We start from the raw sequence: 21,412 nt of genomic DNA, 5'->3' as shown, positions 1-21,412 counted from the left end.
TGATATAGAATAATCAAAGGAATAAAAGAGTAAATTTCCTAGTACATAATGTCAAGCTTTTGTGTTCTGGGTTTGTTGCCCAAAGAGAAAGAAACAGCTTTGTGTGTATTTTAAAATCCTTCTTGAATATATCCTCACTCAGGTCTTTGTTGAGAGGTAGTTGGTTCTGCCTAAGGTGTCAGAGTTGAGGTCGGTGGAAAAGGATAGATTCTAATGCTTGGATATGAAGGTGTTGGTTGGGGCATGACTCAACCTTGGGGAAGAGCTGGATTCTCAGAGCCTGAGAAGGTAGAAAAGTAGTGAGACCCCAAAGTGACACAAATTAGAACTCTGCCATCACATGGCCTCAGGATGGAGCAGGACCTCTGGCGAGGCAGCATGTGGAGTCCTGGGACTGAACCTTAAGGGCTGCTGCTTTGACGACCAAAGCAAGCATCACAGGGGCAAGGACTTACCAAAGAGGGTGAGGATGTTGAGAGCAGCAGAGTGGTCCAACTTTGAATGCAACACGTGGCCAGTGAAGAGCTCAAAAGGGAATGTATTAATCAGGGTTCCCCAGAGAAGCAGAACCAAAGCAGAGAGATTTATTTTAAGGAATTAGCTCACATGATTGTAGGGGGCTGGTAAGTTTGAAATTTGGAGAGCAGGCCCACTGCCTGGAAATTTATGGAAGAGTTGGTATTGCAATCTTGAGTCTGCAACCTGAAGGCTGGAAACTCAGGCGGAATTTCTATGTTGCAGTCTTGAGGCAGAATTGCTTCTTTGGGAAGTCTCAGCTTTTGCAATTAAGGCCTTCAATTAGATGAGGCCTCCCTATATTCTGAGGAGCAATTTGTTATATTCAGTCTACTGATAAATGCTAATATCTAAAAAATATCTTCCCAGCAATATCTACACTGGTGCTTGGCTGAACAACTGGACACCATAGCCTAGCTGAAGTGACAAATTAAACATCCCAGGGACCTTGATAGCAGGCCAGAAGATCACTCCCAGAGTTCTCTACACTGTGTATGACCCTGGGTTTTTACAGGGCTCAAGGAAAGGCCCACCTTTCCAAATGAGGAAGAACAGATTTTCAACAATCCTAAGAGGTGAGGGCCTAGCAAGATTTGATTTGACTCAGAAAAGTTAAGAAACATTATTTTTTCTTATGTTCAAGGGTCATGGAGCAAATTCACACCACTGTACATATAAAAGCAGACTAAAAGATCTTCAAAGTAATTTCAATCTGTAGCATTCCATGATTTCATGATACGATGCTATTCTGACAAGCCCAATCTGAGACACTGTGGCAGGTTGCCCTGTTTTCTATAGAAGTATTTTCTGGCTAAACTGAAATTGCATATCCTATCTTTTAAAATAGTTGATCATTTTTTTTTCATGTACAAACCATTCTAAATAGAAACTGGTGAATGCCAATTTAAAAATTTTATTGGTAACTATTTACTTAATATAAGGTAGATATATTTAATTTTATCGGGACCTACAACCTGAAAACATCCCAGATTCCATAGAAATGACTGTATATAACAATTAACATTTTATTCATAACATAAGCCTTTTCAGGAACAAGCTCAGTAGGGCCTTATCTATATTATAATAAGTGTTTTGGTAAATAATTCTATGGTAATAATCACCTTCATGTTAATCTGTAGAAGAAAAAAATTAAAGCACAAACTCCTAACAAAAAAACTATGTCCAGAGTTTACCAGAAAGTAAGAAAACAAAAATTACAATAAAAGCAAACAAAAATATTTTTGCTATGTCCAGCCCATCGTTCACATTAGACATATAAGCAGCATAATCACTGGCAAGAAAAATAACATCTATTTACCTGTGGTAAGCTGTTGGTGGACAAATGGATTATATCAAAGTGTATTTTAGAAAGGTGTTCTGTGATTACCACAATTTAGCTATTAGGTTCACAGATCCATGGTTACTGTGTTGCTAGAACAAAATCGAAAAGGGCCAGTTTACTCTTCTCTGGAAAGAAACAGTCTTATTCTAGGAAACCAGTGGCTTACCAATTCATTATTCTCCCTAACTCAGATGTTAAATTTTTAAAACAACAAACAAATGAGCTCTATACACCCACCCTCTCATACCCACACTCACCCACCCACACACCCACACAGAGTCTAACCACCATCTTTTCCTTTGCAAAGGCATTAAAGGCCAGAAATGCTAATAAAGTTTACAACATAATCAGAGAGGAGATATGAGCTTCAGTTTATTATTCTAATAAGGGACACAATAGCAGGGAAAGAAGGGATGGAGCTATTTGAGCTGATGTCCTGAAGTGCTAATGTAGGAAGTTGATGTTTATGTTAGTTATTCAGCAGAGTGATGATTTCTGCCATTGTCAGCTAAAGTCAGACTTCTTTTCACTTGTCTTTGTTTAAGTGATGATTGGAAGAAAGGCATTAATAAAGCAAATAGCCCAAGAAAGTCAGTGGAAAGAGCACCCGAGGAGGAGTCACATGGGTCCTGGCTCTGGTCCTGTCACTAGCTAAACTTGCACCAAACCCTCCAGAGATCGTGTTAGTGATTTTCTCCATTTTTGGTTTGTGCATGAAATAATCGATCCACTTCTCCATTTAACCAGTATTTATGGAATGCTTAGTTTGTTTGAGGCAACGTTGTGCACGAGGGATACAAATGACACACGAGACGGATGCAGTCCTTGTTGTCACCGCGACTTAACAATTACACAGGTTTAACTGTTAAGAAAGGAAGTACACAGTGAAATGAGAACACAACAAGGGTTCCTAATTCAGTCTTTATTTTGATCATAACTTATTTGGACTATCCTCTTTAGTTCGGTGTAAACAAACTCTTAAAAGACAGACTAAAAGTTGTGGAAGAGTGCACATGTATACACCCTTTCTCACTTGCAAACCCTTAAGGAAATGGCAGAAATGCTTTTATTTATTTGTTTCTCAAGAGTAAATCTATATCAGTGCTAGAAAATGAGAAAGAATGCCCAGAAAATGAAATTTGCTGGGAAGATAAATAGAAACCAAATGAAATCAGGTTGACGAAGAAACGAGGTTAGAGAAAACCTCAGGCTAAAACACGGGTAAGAGAAAATTTTACAGTGTTGAAGGAATTTCAGTGATTATCCGAGCTCAGAGTCAACACATTCTTGAAATAGCTAGGCCAGTTGGGCACCTTATTCCTTTCTCCCTTTCCACTTAAGCTGAGTGGCGGGGATTAGCAGTGTTTGCCCCTGGATAAAATCAGAAAAACCCTCTCTGGAGGGTGAATAATCTGCCATGGGAGGCCGAGGTCCCCTCAGAGAATTATCCTGCCCTGGAGAAGCTGAGCAGAGCTGGGGATGACTCCCCTGGAACTCCACCACAGATACAGAGGGGAAAAAAAAAGGAAACATATGATCAATAATGCCAATGGGCTACACCCCAGATTAAAGCCCTCTCGATTTTGGTAACTGGACAGGGGAGGTCACCAGCCTGCCTGACTTCTTCCTGCTCAGAATGGAACTTGGCGGTCAGAATGCCCTGCCGACTTTATATAGCACACAATTAGGTCTTGCTTTGGAGAAGGGACTACTTGGGGAAGCAAAGCAACACAGTTCAGAGGAGACCTTATCCACATGGATAAGGTCAACTAATCTTTGTCATGTCCAATTAAGAAAAAAGTAAAAGAACAACAACAAAAAATGTGAAAAGAGAAAATTACCAGCATAAGAAATGAGTAAGGAAGACTATTTTATATAAAAAATTTGAAAATCTAGATAAAAGGGAAGGATTTCTAAAAAATACAAATGATTGTGTTTGAATGAAGCAGAAATAGAAAACCTGAATAGATCAATAACTACCAAAGAGCCTGGAAGATAGCCAAAGATCAATCTCAGAAAGGCACCAGTCCCAGATGGTTTTACAGGTGAGTTTTCCAACATGTGGGAATTTTTCCTATAGGAAACTGGAAGGAAATTGGAAAGACATCCACAAAAGACACCCTGTGGAACTTCACTGGAAGATATTTAAACTCATCCAGAAGAAAAACATGTGAGAACTTCAGGAAAAGTGAAAAAAAAAAAAGAAAAACCACATATTAAAACATATATCAAGTTAAGATAGCTGAAACAGTATAGCACTGTCATAAGAGTAGTGATAGATAAGTAGAAAATAAGATCTGGAAGCAGATCAATTATATATGAGAATTTAATTTATAAGAAAGGTAGATTTTCAAATTGCTGGGTAAATATTAGTCATTTACATAAATAAGACAATTGGCTATTTAGAGTAAAATAGCTTCCAATTTACAATACGAACATACACAAATAATTCTAGATAGTTTTAAAAGCTGGACATTTAGAAAATATATCAACTTATTTACAAATTAGACAATACATTATAAAATTGGTGTGGTAAAAAACTTTGTAAACATTACAGAACATCTAGAAACCATAAGGAAAAAGACTAATAGTGTTGACTGCTTAAACAATTAAAACTTCATATGATGAAACACCATGAACAAAGTTAAAACTGGGAAATATTTGCAAAATATATGACAGATCAACAAATTATTCCTACAAATTGATTTTTTAAAAATAGAGTAAAAACTTCAAGAGAAAAAAAGAACATATTAATATATCAGTAGGCAATTCAAAGAAGAAAAAATATACATGACCAACGAATATATAAAGAAATGCCCATTCTCACTAATTATCAGGAAACACAAATTATAACAAAAGAAAGTTCAGCTATATATTTTTAACTCTTTAGACTGGCAAAAATTAAAAAGGATTGCTGATACCCAAGACTGGCAAAGTTGTGTGGAAATGTGCACTTTCATACACTATTGGCAGAAATGAAATGTTTACAGCCTTTTCTGGAGTATCCTTTTGTAATATTTTTGTTTCTTTGATGTAGAAAAATATCCTCATATGGCTATGAAGAAATATATACAAATAGTTTCATCATCACGATATTTTTAATAGTGAAAAATGGAAATGATAAATATCGACCAATGAAGGAATAGTTAAATTATGAAACATCTATGATATGGAATGCTTTGCAGAACTTTATAAGTTGTCTACAGATACTGACATGAAACCATCTTCAACACAGATCTGTAAATTTCTAATAAACAGAGTTCTATTTAATCTCTACACTGTGATCCCAATTATGTTAAAAAATCCCCAACTGTATATTTTTACATGGATGTGTGTATTTAAATACGTAGAAAAAAAATCCAGAATACACATCAAACTGTTAATAGCAATTTGGGGAAAGTAAGTTGAATTCTTGTAGAAGGAGGATGTTGAAAGAGGATTTTGTTTTTTCCTCTGGACATGTATTTTAAGTACTGTTTTAAAGCTATGTATTGTTAAATAACGAGTATATATTTATACATTAATTCAAGTTCCAGAGCAATATATATAAACCACAGTCCTAATAAGGTAAAAAATGATAGTCCAGGTGTGTGAAAGAGAACTTTGACTTTTTCATCCATATGATCTGTATTCCTAGATTTTAACAATAAAAATGCATTCATGTATTACTTGTATACATCTAAAAATTAATTCATTAAAAGTATGTAACTCTAATATGTATGACATTTTAAGCATCAAAACAAAAACAAATTGCAGAACAACACCTACACTAAGATCCCCCAAAGAAAAATTTGGTCTGGAAGTTTATACACAAGATACAAGGAAAATTTATTCAGCTACTATTAATACAATTCTCAAAAATTAAAAAATAGTAAAAGGAAAATCATACTTTGTATGAATTCAGAACCTACGGTTCAGCCACATGATGACAGCAGAAAAAATCAGGAGCGTCATACCATCTCCTGCCTTCAATAATCAGTGGGAAATCAGAGCACTGAGGCTTTTACAAGGTGACTCTGCTCCCTGGTCACAGCCGATGGGCACAAAATTGGGCACCTGAGTCAAGCTGAGACAATTACCTCGTGAACGGGAGCGAGGGAGAATCCATTCCTGGATGTACAGGGCGTGAATCTTCCCGTGAGTCCCAGACCTGTGGGCAGCCATCTTCCCTTGCCCTATGGACCCAGGAGCAGAGAAGGCGCTCTCTAGGCAGAGGAACAACCACACATCAAGGGATAGAGAGCGGCTGACATGAGACTTCTGGGGGAAAAAAAGGACTTCCCATTTTCCCAAATCTTTCCATTCCTAGTTCCCACAGTTCCTGGTCCCCAGCTGCGTTTCTCCTAATGGATGGAGGCCTTCTTCAACTTAGTGTAAATTTATCTTCCTTGCTGCTAGTTGCAACCAAAAGGCAAAGTCAGCATTTCCCTGGCTGACCATGAGGTTACATTCCAGTAAATTGGGTCTGTCAGATTTTACGGTCCCTGTGCTATTAAATGGACCATGATAGGACAGTTATAATCTGTGTGTGTCTGGTATTTGACACTGTTTCAAAGTTAAAATTATGGAAATCAGATGTATTTAATAACAAAGAAGTCCTCGTGTAAGGCATTTTCTCTCCCTAAATTCTCTTTCACAAGTTAGGTTGTTTAGGTTGGTTGTGTTCCTACAACATTTCTCAATTACTGTATTTTAGACATAGGAAATGTGTAGTGAGGGCTAATTAGTCTAAAACATCCTTAGTCAATTTTGAATGCTTATAGAGATCACCTGATAAAATCAGTAAAAAAAAAATGGACATAAAGAAATTTAACACCATTTTAGTCATTATTTTTTGAGGGCATGGAGTATGACTTCGCAACTCCAAGTATTAGATTTATTGTGGACAAGACTAAAAAACAAAAATGACTGAAGCAGGAAGTATATGGTTACATTGTAGAGACTATCATGAATCTACCATCTATAAAGCAAATTTTAAAAATAACTGATATGGGAAGAAGTAACAAATGAAGGCAACAAAACTAAATTGATACTCTGAACCAAATTTTGTTTTTAAAACTTATAAATAAAACAACATACAAAAATGATTAAAACAAAGATTAGTGGTTCTCATCTCAGGCTTAATTATTCTTTTGCTATTTTTTACAATTTATTTTACAGAAAGCATTTTTACTTTTATAATCAGAAATTGGTTATAAAAAATTAATGCAAAATTTAAAAAATATGATTTCTAAGGAGATTTCTGCATCCCTTATCAATGGAATTAATGTGTAACTTTCACACAACTACAGACATGTTTTTATTTATGAGTTATGATTTAAATATTGAAAGTTATCTGTTTTATATTCTGTTAGATGTCTTGTTACCATGGGAACATTCAGGTTAATAGTAATGTTACTGGAAAATAATCTGTACTTAATCCATATTTAAGATTCATTTTTAAAGAAGATTGACATAGTATTTCAAATATTTCAGCACACTTTTTGATTCTATAGAATGCAAAGTATTATTATTAAAATTGAGTAATTATTGGTATTTTATTTTCCAAAAGCTGTAGCATACCAAGTGAATGTTTAATACTTAAGTGGTCAGCAGTTTTTTGTATGTTTATATTTGCAGTGTAACTGTGTGTTTCAGAAGAAACCAAATCGTTTCTCTGTATTTAATTCTGATTAAAGTGATTTCAAAAAACAAAGAGAAAAAATCATTTTTCTGAACTATTTAATTCAAATCAATGTGATTTAGAAAAATATCTGAGGGAAAACCATACTGTTTCGGGAGCCAGATGTATTTTGCTGTTGCTGAGTGGAAGGAAAAAAGATTGTACCATGTACTAGATTGACTATGTCCTCTCCAAAATGATGGGGACAACATGCTAAAGCATACAGTAGGTGCTCAGTAAAGGTTGGATAGTGAGCAACCTGAAATACCTGTATGTTGTGGCCATCGTCCCATTCAGTTTCTCATTCCTGTCTCTGTGTTCATTGTCCTTTCTGCCTGGAATACCTTCTTCCTCCCTGTTGCCCCTTCTCCAAGGCACCCCCATCTCTCCAATCCCCAGGCCATGTCCCTTCCCACAGGAAGCTTTCTCCTCCTGGAGTTTTCCTCCTGTAAAAGCTTCTGCTTACTTTTTCCCTGATGCTTAGTTGGTGGGATAATTTTATTTTATTATTATTATTTTTAACTATTAAGTTCAGGGGCACAGATGCAGGATGTGCAGGCTTGTTACATAGATAAAGATGTGTCGTGGGAGTTGGCTGTACAGATTATTTCGTGGTGTGATCATTTTAATACGGGTATTTCGAAGCTTCAAGGGACTGTGGATACAAAGGGGAACCCATTATGAGATTCCTGTCCCATTATGCCCAGAGATGTCTACAGAGCATCTCACATGGGCTCCAAGTACATGACATTTTGATGGGGCTGTTTTGACAGTCATTTTCATACCACGATTTTGAGGCAGCCACTAAGATGCAGCTGTTTTGACTTCAGAGACTTGGAAATGGTCACTTTGGCAAAGCATTTCCCAAGGCAGGGACATTTTGATGAGACATTTGAATACAGCCTTATTCCAGTTTATTCTTTTTCTTTTAACAATTTGTATTGCTAGGTAAGGGGAAAATGAACTCCTTTGCCCTGCTTTTGAGAAAAACTCAACCTATTATTTTTACCTTCACGGATAGAGTGGTAGTCTAAGAGGGAAGGGGCTTAGAGATGAGAGGAGAACTAGGCTGGAGCCTTTGGCAGAAGCACAGTCATGAAATCAGCTTACTACACTCACTCATCTCAGAAAAGGCCATCAGTCATTCCAAGCAATACATCTGCTCATGTCTGAGAGTTCACCTGCATCTTCAGTGAAACACCTCAAGTTTTCTCATCTATGCCTTAAAGACACTGAGAAGGTGACTATTTGGTCCACCTGTATGATCCCTTGGTCTTAAATCTGGACTGCATAGTAAGGCTCAATTAAATTTCTGACATGTCTCTCTCACGTCAACAATATTCTTAAACTATGATTACTATTTTGAAGCTTTTTTTTAAAATAAAGCACTGTTATTTTCTTAGCAGTTAACCCAATTCTATCAAATTATGAGAGATTTTTATTTTCAGTTTATGAAAGTAATACAGACCTATAAACATTTAAACCATGCTCAATGAAGTGAAAAACATAAATCTCTCATAATCATGGTGTACCTAGAAAGCAGAGAAAGGTTCAGGGATGTCATATGCACTGCTTGGGAAAACAAATCAATAACTAACAAAGCAATGCTTACACACTTTTGACAAGGCCATCAAAGCGTCCCCCACACTGAAATAACCTTTAAGCTGTATCAACACACCCAGCATCATGAACAGTTCCCAGAGAGTATCTTCTAGGTTACACTTATTTTCTTGATCCATGCCATCCGTACCCTGATTCCTCCCAACATCTCTCCCTCTTTGTCACTATCCTTGGGCTTCTGAAGTTTCCAGAGAATGTCTCAGGGCCACCATTGTTCCAAATGATAATGGTATCCATTCTGAGATGTGTGGATTTCAGGGCTCCCGACCCCGTCACTCTCAAGGAGCGAGGCTAGATTCAATCTCCGACTCTAGGTCACCTGTTGCCACCTGACAGACCTAAGAAGCACTGTGTGCACCCCACACTCCCCTCTTCACTGATTCTACCTGTCTCATGAAGCCCTTTGGAAAAACAACTCCTTCTGCTTGTGCCTGCTGCTCCCCTCTCCTTAAAGCTCAAGTAGTGCAGACCATTATTAGAGCAGGAGGAAGGCTCTGGGGCATGCTGCCTGGGTTTACATCCTGGCTACAACACTTGGGGATGCATGATCTTAGTGAAATTATGTAAACTCTCTGTGCTTCTGTTTCCTTATCTGCAAAATGGAAATGAGAGTTACAATGCCTACTCCAGGCAACACAGAATCTGTCTCAGTGCACCAAGTGTTGTGACGAGCTGTTGTGAAGAATGAAGTATTAACTAAGAACACACAAAATATTCAGATCAGTGTCCAGATTTGGGCAAACACTTGATAAATGTTAATTGTTATTTAAAAAGAGAAGACAGAAAAAGAAAAACACTAGTGCCCAGAGACAAGACTGCAGGTTGTCTCAGTTCTCACCTACCCCGTTTGTTGTACACTTGTGCACAATACTTTATCTTTGGAGGCTATCTCATACAAACTCTTATATAACCAGACTTCAGGTCATATCCAGGTCTCATGCTCTCTTTCACTCAGCTAGGACCATCCTACTACGTTATTCAGTTTCTTTTTCCTTCTTCCCTGCGAATTGCTGAGGTGATGAATCTCTCTTTCCCACTCATGTTTTCTCAGCACCAGGATGGCAACAGACACACAGATTTTTAATAGGTGGATGAATGAATGAATGGATGGATGATGGCGGTGTTTATATTGAAACCCTGAGTGCTGTCTCAAAATACTTTCATTCAAGATGGCTTGGTTCCTGAATTATATTTAAATGAATTTCATTTTATGAAATTGTACTGAATCTAGAGTAAAATTAAAATAGAACATACAAGAGAATCTTCTTTTAAGTGGGAAATTGGAAGTAAAAATATAAGGAAGATAAAGAATAAAAACACACGTTTTCCACAGAAAGACTGAACACCAAATGAATAACTTTTTCCCTCTTTAGTGTTTTGTTTCAGCATCATTATCCCACCATTTAGAGGATACGATGACTTATGGTCTTAAAATGAAGCAGTATATCATTAAAGCTTTATTTTCATGAAGATATTTTCTTCTAATTAAATTCAATACCATCCGGGGGAAGAATAGCTTATTCAACACAATACATAGAAATGCTTTTCCATGTCATAAAGAGCTCAAATAAAGGGTTCATGTTTTACTGTGAATCAAGGAAAAGCACACTCTGGTTTTACAGGCTTCTTTTGGCCAAGCATTTTCTCTTAAATGAGCAGTTTGGGCTTTATTTTACCAGTGAAGAAGAAGCCTAAAACTGTGATTAATTTACCATGGCTCAGATAAAACAGTATCAGAGAGATGAAATCAGTTTCTACCAAAAAAAAAAAAAATGTGATAGTGACCACAATTTCTTTAACTACTGTCACTGAAGCCTTCCTAAGCAAAAACAAGCAGATAAAGTACAACAAAAACTTATCACAAAAAATCCCCCCCAAAACAAGAACAACAGCAACAACAACAACAACAGCAACAACAAAACAAACCCTGAGATGCATTTAAATGATTGATGGTAAACTTCACCATGTTCCAGGGGGCTCTGCAATTTATTCGGCAAACCTTTAGGAAACCTCTGGAATGTATCAAGCATTGAGCTAAGCCTTGGAAATGTAAAGATGAAGAGAACACACAGGTGTTGCTTGCAAGTGAATCAAAGTCTAATAATTTTGGCAGATTTCTTCTAGCAATGTGCTCCAATAAGAAGCCTAAAGGGAAACACCTGTATGCATATGTACACACAGCTCTGTTTATTCCCTTAGAGACACATATTTGTTGGCTGCTGATTTAGTGAAAAGGAATGTAGTGAGGAAAAGTGCGTAAATAATTCATATATTTTTCTCCAGAAAGCTTTTATCCGGAATTCATATTTGAGAGTGACAAACTTTACCATTAGTGGAGTAGTGGTGTTAACAGTAGCAATAATTGAAACAATAGTTAGCAAGAGTGCAAGAAGTCTTATTGACTAAACTATTCTTAAAAATTTCAAAGCTCTATTTAAAACAAGCTCAGTTTTAAGATGATCAGGACATGGAGAGGAAAGCGTTTATGTAAATACATACAGAGGGAGGATCCAAAGTCAACAAAAGTCACGCCTCGTGCCCACATCTTGGTTGGTTTCTAATACCATTCTCAAATGAAATGAACCAGAACGTGAATAAATAGCTGATTCTAAGACTGGGGCAGGAAATATACAAGATGAGCTTGGAGCATCTTGTAGTGTCAGGAAGTAAAGAAGTGCTTCAAAACCAAAACGATGGGAGTGTGTCAAAGGGAAAGGAGAAGTCAACCTCAAGGAACACCCAATGGCCCAAACTAGAACAATTTGAGCATCAAGATAGATAGTGTAGTAACGGATTGTAATCCAAAGTATAAAATAAATATTCATGAGTTCTTCCAATATAAATAGCTGAATAAATAAACAAATGTGGAAAAGAGACAAATATACGGAATTCTGGGTAACTTATGCTCATAGTTCCTACTTAAGGAAGTGAGTATAGCTCTCTACCTACCTCTTAAGTGTGGGTTTTGCATAGTGACTTCCTTCCAAAGGGTATTACAGGCAAAGTGGGAAAAAGAGTAACTTTCCAATGGAGAAATCTGGAAAACATTACGTTGGCCAGATGATCAAGGTTAACAGAAGATCATGGTTATTAATAGTAACAGGTCATGTTGACAGTATGAATACTTGATGTTCTGTGAAGAGAATGGTACGTTACCTCTGTTGTCTTCCTTCCAAGTAACCAGAACCCCAGTCCAATCATGAGAAAAACATCTCACAATCCCATATTGAGGAACGGTCAACAAAATACCTGACTAATACTCTTCAAAACTGCCAAAGCCTTCAAAAATAAGGAAAATCGGAGAAATTGTCACAGCCAAGAGGAACACAAGAAGACATAATGTCTAAATGTAATATGCCATCCTGGAACAGAAAAAGAACATTAGATTAAAATTAAGCAAATCTGAATAGAGTACAAATTTTAATTAATAATAATGTATCAATGTTTGTTATTTAGTTATGACAAATGAGCCATGGTAATGTTAGATGCTAACATAGAAAATTGGGTACGGGGTATATGGAAATTCATTTCTTTGCAAATTTTCTGTGAATCTAAAACTGTACTAAAATTAATAATTTACTAAAAAAACGAATCAAATATCTAAAAGCAGCAAGAGTTGATACAGTTATTTCAATAAACGACAATACGTATGTAAATATTAAATAAACAAAATTGATACTCTATTTTGATTCTACTTACTATCTCACTACTAGATTGTGTAATGTGCTTCAGTTTAGTGTAAATCCCAAATATTTTGAAGTCTAAACGATAATATAATATTAACAATAAAAGTTCTTGAGGTACTCTTGTGTCTTTTCACCCAACTCTGCGCTTACCCCACTCACTAAACTAATTTCAGGAACTTTAGGCATTTTGAAAAGTTTTTTTAACCATATGGCTATTAAAGATGTTGTATATTGTTGTTTAAAATATACTTTCTGATGTGAATAATTCTTCTATTATCATATTTTCCCCATTTTTAAATGTAGTTGGTTGTTACTCTGTGTTACAGAAACAATGTTAGATTTCAAAACTTCCCTGTCTATACAGTGTAGTCACATTTTATGCAAATTTCAAATAGTGAAAAATAAACATATTAATAAAGTCTCAGTTTATGCACCAAAGTTTAAATAATCTTAATTCCTCAAATTAAACATTGATGAATCATGTTTAAAAGCTGACGGATCCAATACATTTTAAATTGTTTACACTATTACCACGTGGTGGCGCCATGTCAGCTGGTGAATGCAAAGCCTTGGCAAACCTTGGATTCCTCCTAAATTGCCTTGAGGAACTCTGACCTCGTCGGAAGAGCCGTCTATGTCCTGACTCTATCCTCCATTTTACAGGAGAGATAACTGAAGTCCACAGAGTGAAATTATTCCCCCACTTCCACACAGTCTGTTACTGAGCCAGGAATAGAGTGTACTTCCTATCACTTGGCTCTGTTCTCTCTGTCTCTCTCACTTTCTCTATGTGTGTGTATAGATATATACACAATATATAGTATACACATATTACACATATATAGTATATGCTTATATATACTATACATTTATGTAATATATAAATATATATTTACCTCATATAAGATATATAAATAATATAAATAAATATCATAAATATATAATATATGATAGGTATCTCTAATATATAAAAAATATATTTATGTAATACATATACAAAATTATATATAATATAGATACATAAGTATATAAGCAAAAGAAGTACATATACATTCATATATTTAATTTCCACAACAACAAATTTTATGGAGTAAAATGTACCTCTTAATGTCACTTTAAAGTTCATGCATATACATATCCAAAATATATTTATAAAATCTTGACTAAGTACAATTTTCCTTCTTTAGGTCCCTGTAACTTTCTATGCTGTGATTTTTGCTTAGCAAAATTTTTGTTGATACAACAAAATTTAGGAGCCATTAGAAAAATGAGTTAGAATCACACAGTTTTACTTAGAGGTATTTTCCCAAAGTATTGTTAAATGAAAATATAAAAAGCAAAAAAAATTTGTATTAGCATAATTGCATGTTTATAAACCAAATAATGACAAAATTAAAATATCCTGCAGAGTATGTACATAAATGTACAAGTCGTATAGAGGCATTTGAATGCAGTAAAAGTATGGAATAATTAATGTAAAGTTTATAATATGAGTTATCTTTGTAGGGGGAACAGGGAAGCCACATGAGGGGAAAAGTAGGAGAGACTAAGGAGAAAACCACATAAAAAGTGGAAAAACATTGCACACATACAAAATGCCTATATGTGATCACATTTATATAAAGTTATATTTATGTAAATATATATAAAATATATAAATTTAAATAGTTGGTTTTAAAGGTACTATAAATAAGGACACAAGAAAAAAGAAAATCTAGAAAAACTATTGATGGTAAAAAATGATAGTTAAGGTAGCAGGTACCTAATCTCCTAAAATAAAAATCTTTCTACAAAGCAATTAAAAATAAGACAAAAAACAATAACCTAATAGAAAAAAATGAGCTAACACCACAGCAGGTAGTTTACATAAGGAAAAACACAAATGGCTTTTACACATCTGTGAAGATGTGTAGTCTTATTCATAATCAGGCATATGAAAACTAAATCTGTAAGAAATTTTGTTTCAAATGCATCCTATTGGCAAAAAATTAATATTTTCTAAAGCCAAGTTTGGCAAAACTGTGAAGCAAGAGGACTCTTCTATACTGTTGATGAAAGCATACATTGGAACAGTTACGTTTGAAAGCAACTTGGCAATATGTAGTAAAGCTGAAGAATCCAAACCCTGTGACCCAGCAGGTCCCAGCAGGTCTGCTCCTATGTCGATGAAGAGATGTTTACAATGATGTTCATAGTAGCATTGTCACAAAGAGCAAAAATTGGAAACAGCCTAAATGGACCATCAATAGTAGAATAAATAAATGGTTATATATTCATTCAATGGATTACTGAGCAGTAGAAAGTGAATGAATCTGAGCTGCATAAATATCATGAGTGAATTATCACAAAATAATGTCGAGGACAAAAAGCACACTGCAGGATGAATACTTGCAATATGACACTATATGAAATTTAAAAACATGCCAACTACTTATATGCACACACATATACACAAATATATGTAATTTGGGAGTAAATAAATGTGTTGCAAGATCTACATAAATACCTGAAAATGATAAATGTTAAATTCAAGGTAGCAAATACTTCTGAAATAACGAGATAGAGAAATTCAACTAGGGAAGGGTATACAGTGGCTTTCATCTGATTGGTAATGCAATTTTTTTTGACAAATAGTATATCTTATATTACTTATTTCATATTTATGATAGATTTATTGTGTTTATAATCATAACACTATATTAGTTATACTCATATTTTTGTTAATATTATTTTATAGTATTTTTAAAAGATACTCAACCCCCTCATAAGAATAGTCCTTCTTGAAATGACAACAAGAAACTATTTTTCACCAATCAGAATGCTAAAGATAAACATTGTAATAATAAACCGTTCTGGCAAGAGTTCAGGGGCACAAGCACGTTCAGTAATTGTTGGGAGAGTACATTTGTAGAACTTTTAACTATGGGATGATTTGGCAATGTTTATCAAAATTAAACGCACATTTGTACCGTTTTACCCAACTCACTTAATAAAATTTTCTCTTTAAATACACTCCAGCAAGAACACAAAGGTATGTATACAATGCTGTTCATTGCAATGCTGTCTGTGATAGCAAAGGGGCAGGTAAGATAAATGTGCTTCATCCATGCAGGAATGTTATGCAGGATGCAGGACATTAAAAAAAATGTGGTACCCACTCGATAAACTGATATGAAATAGTGACTAGGGTAAATAGTAAAAAAAAAAGCGAGGTGAAGAACATTTGTTGGGTAGTCTAACTTTCTGTAACATGGGTTACCTGTACAATTTAGAACTGGGGCTTGGGTAGCGGAGGCCAAAGAGATGAATTTTTAAAAAATATTTCCATTCATGTGTTTTCAACCTTGTATCTCTTGTGTGCATTACCATTAAATAAACTTCAAAAGAAGCAAATAAAAGAATAAATAAGATTTAAAATGAAAATAAAAACAAGAGATGCAACTCCTACATTTAATTTCAAAGATAGTATTGTCACTGTAACTTTAGTATTTTAATGAAGTCACATTACTTGCTTTATATCCAAGGCCTAAGGCTTCAATTAATTTACGGGTAATCTATTGACCAAAAGAGGAAAGTCTCATTAAAAAGTAGCATTTGTTGAGAGGTCCTAGGCCCAAAGGAGGGGCTTTCTTACCAAGACAACACACTTCCAGTTCCTTCTCAGAAGGGGATTAGGGACCATGATGATAAATTTTAATAATTTAGGTGAGGTCTCACTATTAGAGTTTTAAAATCAATTAATTAAGCTGTATCCCTGTTTGTCCTAAAAAAATTTCAAACCAACTAACAAATGAGCACAAAATACAACATAATTCAGTGAATTAAAAACAAGTGAGAAAATGAGGCAAATATTCATTATTTTTTATTTCTCCTTGTAGCTCTTGTTAATTTTTGTTTTATATACTTTGAGGCCATGTAAATATTATAGGTACATATGAATTTAGAATTGTTAAACATTCCCAGTGAATTGAAGCTTTCTTGTTATTAATTCTACTACTGCCTTTTGGCTTAAAGTCTGTTATCATTGCTAGTACAGGCTGAGTACCCCTAATCTAAAATGCTCCAAAATCTTAAAGTTTTTTAGCACTGACATGACACCGCAAGTAGGAAATTCCACACCTGACCTCATGTGATGGGTCACAGTCAAAATGCAGTGAAAAGCTTGTTTCATGCACACAGTTATTAATAACATTGTACAAAATACAATGTGTATAAAGTGTATATGAAACAAATAAATTCTGTGTTTAGCTTCAGGTCCCATCCCCAAGATATCTCTTTATGTACATATAAATATTCCCCAATTCAAAAAAATCTGAAATTTGAAACACTTCTGGTCCCAAGCATTTTAGATAAGTGATAATCAACCCGTAGTAGAGTTACACCAATTTTCTTTTTATTTAATTTGTGTGATTTTTTTCCCATTCTTTCAACTTTTCTGTTTTGTTATATATAGGAAACTACATATGGTTGCTGTTTTCTTAATATACATTGCATTTATGAGGTATGTTGTTATTGTTTCTTAGTCCATTCTGGAAGTCCGAATTTTTTTTTAATATTCGGTCAATTACCTTCATTTAATTATTTATATTTGTATTTACTTTTGCCATCTTACCGTATACATTTGATTTGCTCACCTATTTTACATTTATTTTTTTCTCTCATTTATTGAAGCCCTAGGATAAACCCCTCTTGGTTATAGTGTATCATCCTTTACATGTATTTCAAGATTTGATTTACTTATATTTTAAAAATAATTTTGTGTCTACATACATGAAGAATATTGGTCTGTAATTTTTTTGTTTCTCTTTAATGTCCCCCTCCCTCCCCTTTCCTTCCTTTTCCTCTCCCTGTTCCTTCTTCCCTTTCCTTCCCTCTCCTCCCCTCCCTCCTCTTTCTTTTTCTCTCTCTCTCTCTCTTTCTCTTTCTTTCTTTTTCTCTCCTTCCTTCCTTCCCTCCCTCCCTCCCTCTTTCTTTCTTTCTTTCTCTCTTTCTTTCTCTCTCTTTCTCTTCTTTCTTCTTTCTTTTTTGAGACAAAGTCTCGCTCTTTCGCTTAAACTGGAGTGCCGTGACGTGATTATAACTCACTGCGGCCTCAACCTCAGGGGCTCAAGTGATCCTCCCGCGTCAGCCTTGCAACTAGCTACTACAGACTTATGCCATCACACCTGACTTATTTTTGTATTTTTTGTAGAGATGGGGTTTCACCATGTTGCCCAGGCTGGTCTTTGCTCAAGTGATCTGCCTGCCTTGGCTTCCCAAAGGGCTAGGATTGCAGGCATGAGCCACCAGGCCTGGCCTCTTTTTTTCTCTTTTGAACATAATTGTCAGATTTTGGTATCACTGCTTTGGTAGCCATATAAAACAAGTTGGGAAGTATTCTTTTCCTCTATTTTCTTAAATAGTTTATGTAAGAGTGTTGTTATTCCTTCCTTAAATGTTTGATAGGATTCACCAGTAAAACTGTCTGGGCCTTTGTGGGAAACTTTCTGATAAGTAATTAAAAATTTTAATAGATGTAAGACAACTCAGATATTATAATTATTATAACCCTATATTTGTTATTATATTCATGTTGTTTGTTACTATTATTTCATAGTATTTTTAAAAGATTTTATTTCATATGGTATCAGTTTGGGTAAACTATTTTTGTCAAAAAATCCATCTATTCCATCTGAACTACTGAATTTATTGGTGTAATGTTATTTATAATATTCCGTTATCATCCTTAAGGTATGTAGGATCTGGAGTAATGATATTATCTCTTTTACTCCCAATATTAATAATTTATCTTTCTTTTTTCCTTCAACAGTTTGGCTACATGCAGATTTATCAATTTTATTTGTCTTTTTAAAGAACCAAATTTTATCTGTATTAATTTTCTTTATTGTTTGTCTGTTTTCTATTCCATTGATTTTGGCTTTCTATTATTCCCTTAAGAAAGTACTTCGAATCGATTTGTCTTTATATTTAAAGTGCATCTCTTTCAGCCCGAGGAAGCTAAAAAGTAATAACAATAAAAATAAATGAATAAATAAAGTACATCTCTTATAGGCCATATATAGTTGAGTCTTGCATTTTTTTAATTCATTCTTACAGTTTTCATGTTTTATTAGGTATGTGTAGTCCATTTAAATTTAAAGTAGTCCAGATATGGTGGCTCACACTTGTAATACTAGCACTTTGGAAGGCCCAGGCAGGATGATCTTTTGATGCCGGGAGTTCAGGACAAGACTGGGCATTATAGTGAGACTTCACCTCTACAAAAATTTACAAATTAGCAGGCATGGTGGCACAATCCTGTAATCCCAGCTACAAAAAAAAAATGTGATTAATGTTTGGGAAATGTTCACCATTTTATAATTATTTTTTATTCCTTCTTTTCTTTCTTCTTTGGGATAATTAAATGTTTTTCATCATTCAATTTTAAATTATTTATAGGCTTTTTGGCTCTCTTTGCTTTTAAATAAAAAATGCACAGATTAAAATTTATCTTCTAACACATCCTTGAAGTTTCTGTGTAGTTCTGAACACTGCACTAGAGATCCATGGCCACGACAGATGAAAGAATTGGGCTTAAGACTTGCCTGCTGAGGCAGGTCTATTGCTCAAGCAAAAGCTTCTAACCCATATTTTCTTCAGGTGCCAAGTTAAGAGACTCCTGGGTTCTAGAAGGAGTTCCTGGATGTAGACAATGGTTTGCTGCCATCTCCTAAGGTGGCCCTTCATTTCTATGTGGGACTGTATTACCTCTAAGCTCTCTAGGGGCACAGTTCTCCTGGATGTGTTGGCTTTTGAAGACCCCAGATATTCATCCATATAGGAGTATAAGACATCAACTTTGTGGTATTGACAGTCTAGCAGTTGGTGATTTGAAACCCATCTAAAAGAGCAGGTTGCTATATGCTCATTATGATTCAGTTGATCTGAAGTGAGAAGCTGCTGTAGACTCTGCTGGTCCTAAGGTTGCGTGTCTACTCATTATCTTAATACAAAGGCAGTTTTTCTGGTTCCTTTTCTGAAAAGACTTCTTAATAGGTGGCATTCCTAGTTGGCACCCTGGGCACTGATAGCATGGCCTGAGAGACTCCCTATATGGCACTTGGGCAACACTGATGGCCGTAAACCAAAATGAATGCTATGTCTCCTTAGCTCCCATGACATTCTCAGGGATGGATGTTGTGCTGATCAGGGTTGAATACCAAATGATAATGTGAGAAGCCATTTACTTATAGGAAAGGCAGTTTCATATACTTTTCCATACCAGTATTGAAGGGTATAGTCTTGTGTGATGGTCTTTTCCAGCAGCAGCCACCAATAGATCATTTCCAAAATGATTGTCCAGAGCTTGGAATAGCTTTGAAGTTGAAATTGTTAGATGAAGAATCAGTAAAAGTCCTTGGTGACCTGAAGTGTACCACAACCTGGACTTACAGGTAAGTCAAATCATGACCCCGACAGCTCAGTAAGCAACCTACATATGTCTAGGCAAGGAGCAAAGTAGAAGGATAGATCAGGGTAATATTCATTCTGTTCTCATTACTAGAGGCTAAGACATTGCTTGGCAGCAGGTTCTGCTTCATCCCATCTGGCATATGAATCATCCTTTTGTTCAGCATTTCCACACTGTAGATGCTGCCTGCGCATGTCACTTAGTAGCTGGCTGGATAATTGGATCAACTGTTGTGACATCACAGCACTTGTGTTCAAGACACCCTTACTTAACTTCATAATGGCCTCAAAGCACAAAAGTAGTGAAGCTGGCAATTTAGGTATGACAAAGAGAAGCTGTCAAGTACTTCCTTTACATAAAAAGATCAAAGTCCTTGACTTAATAAGGAAAGAAAAAAATATTGTATGCTTAGTTTTCATACCATAGATTTGGATCTATGGTAAGGACAAATCCTCTATCTGTGAAATTGTGAAGAAGGAAAAAGATGTTTGTGCTAGTTTTATTCTGCATCTAAAACTGCAAAAGTTATGGCCACAGTGTGTAATAAGTGCTTAATTATGATGGAAAAGGCATTAAAGATGTGGGTGGAAGACATGAATGCAACATGTTCCGATTCACAGCAATGTGTTGTGCCAGAAAGCATTGAGCCTGTAGGAAGACTTCAGCAAGGGATCCCCAGAAACAAGTGACATCAGCCATTTATTGCGAGTGAGGGGTGGTTATACAGACTCGGGAATATGTTTGGGCTGAAAAATATAAAAATTACTGGAGAGGCTGAGTCTGCCGGTGAAGAAACTACTGTCATGTGAATAGAGTACAATAAGATATTTTGGGAAAGACTACATTCACATAACTGTTATTACAGTATGTAGTTATAAATATTCTATTTATTATTAGTTATTGTTAATCTCTTGCTGTGCCTAATTTGTAAATTATGTATGTAGTTCCAGCCATTCGGGAGGCTAAAACCAGACGATCACTTGAACCCAGGGCTGGAGACCAGCCTGGGCAAAATAGCAATACTCTGTGTCTAAAATAAATAAATAAATAAACCTCATCATAGGTATGCATATATAGGAAAAAGCAGCATATATAGGGTGCTGTACTATCTGTGTTTGGGGTATCCGCTGCGGGTC

General features: G+C 35.4%; 1 long non-coding RNA gene across 1 annotated transcript in view, besides 1 other annotated feature; it reads right to left on the bottom strand.

Moving 5' to 3' along the window:
• Positions 1 to 2,205: 2,205 nt before the first annotated feature.
• LOC105377999 (uncharacterized) overlaps positions 2,206 to 21,412 on the bottom strand; it is a 92,281-nt gene continuing 73,074 nt past the window's right edge. Inside the window, exons 6-8 of the long non-coding RNA XR_942986.3 lie at positions 12,390 to 12,502; positions 12,090 to 12,273; positions 2,206 to 2,720 (exon numbers count right to left, since the gene is read on the bottom strand). This is a non-coding gene — a long non-coding RNA (uncharacterized LOC105377999). The remainder of the gene's footprint in view (positions 2,721 to 12,089; positions 12,274 to 12,389; positions 12,503 to 21,412) is intronic.
• Positions 2,868 to 3,394: an enhancer, noted in NCBI's record as "OCT4-NANOG-H3K27ac hESC enhancer chr6:130267865-130268391 (GRCh37/hg19 assembly coordinates)". NCBI's record gives its function as "activates a minimal SCP1, AML or CMV promoter by ChIP-STARR-seq in naive H9 embryonic stem cells {active_cell/tissue: H9 hESC(naive)}" and the evidence as "EXISTENCE:reporter gene assay evidence [ECO:0000049][PMID:30033119]".

The sequence above is a fragment of the Homo sapiens genome, chromosome 6, assembly GCF_000001405.40.
Source record: "Homo sapiens chromosome 6, GRCh38.p14 Primary Assembly".
NCBI classification, from domain to species: domain Eukaryota; kingdom Metazoa; phylum Chordata; class Mammalia; order Primates; family Hominidae; genus Homo; species Homo sapiens.
This window is presented reverse-complemented; position numbering and strand designations above follow the sequence as displayed.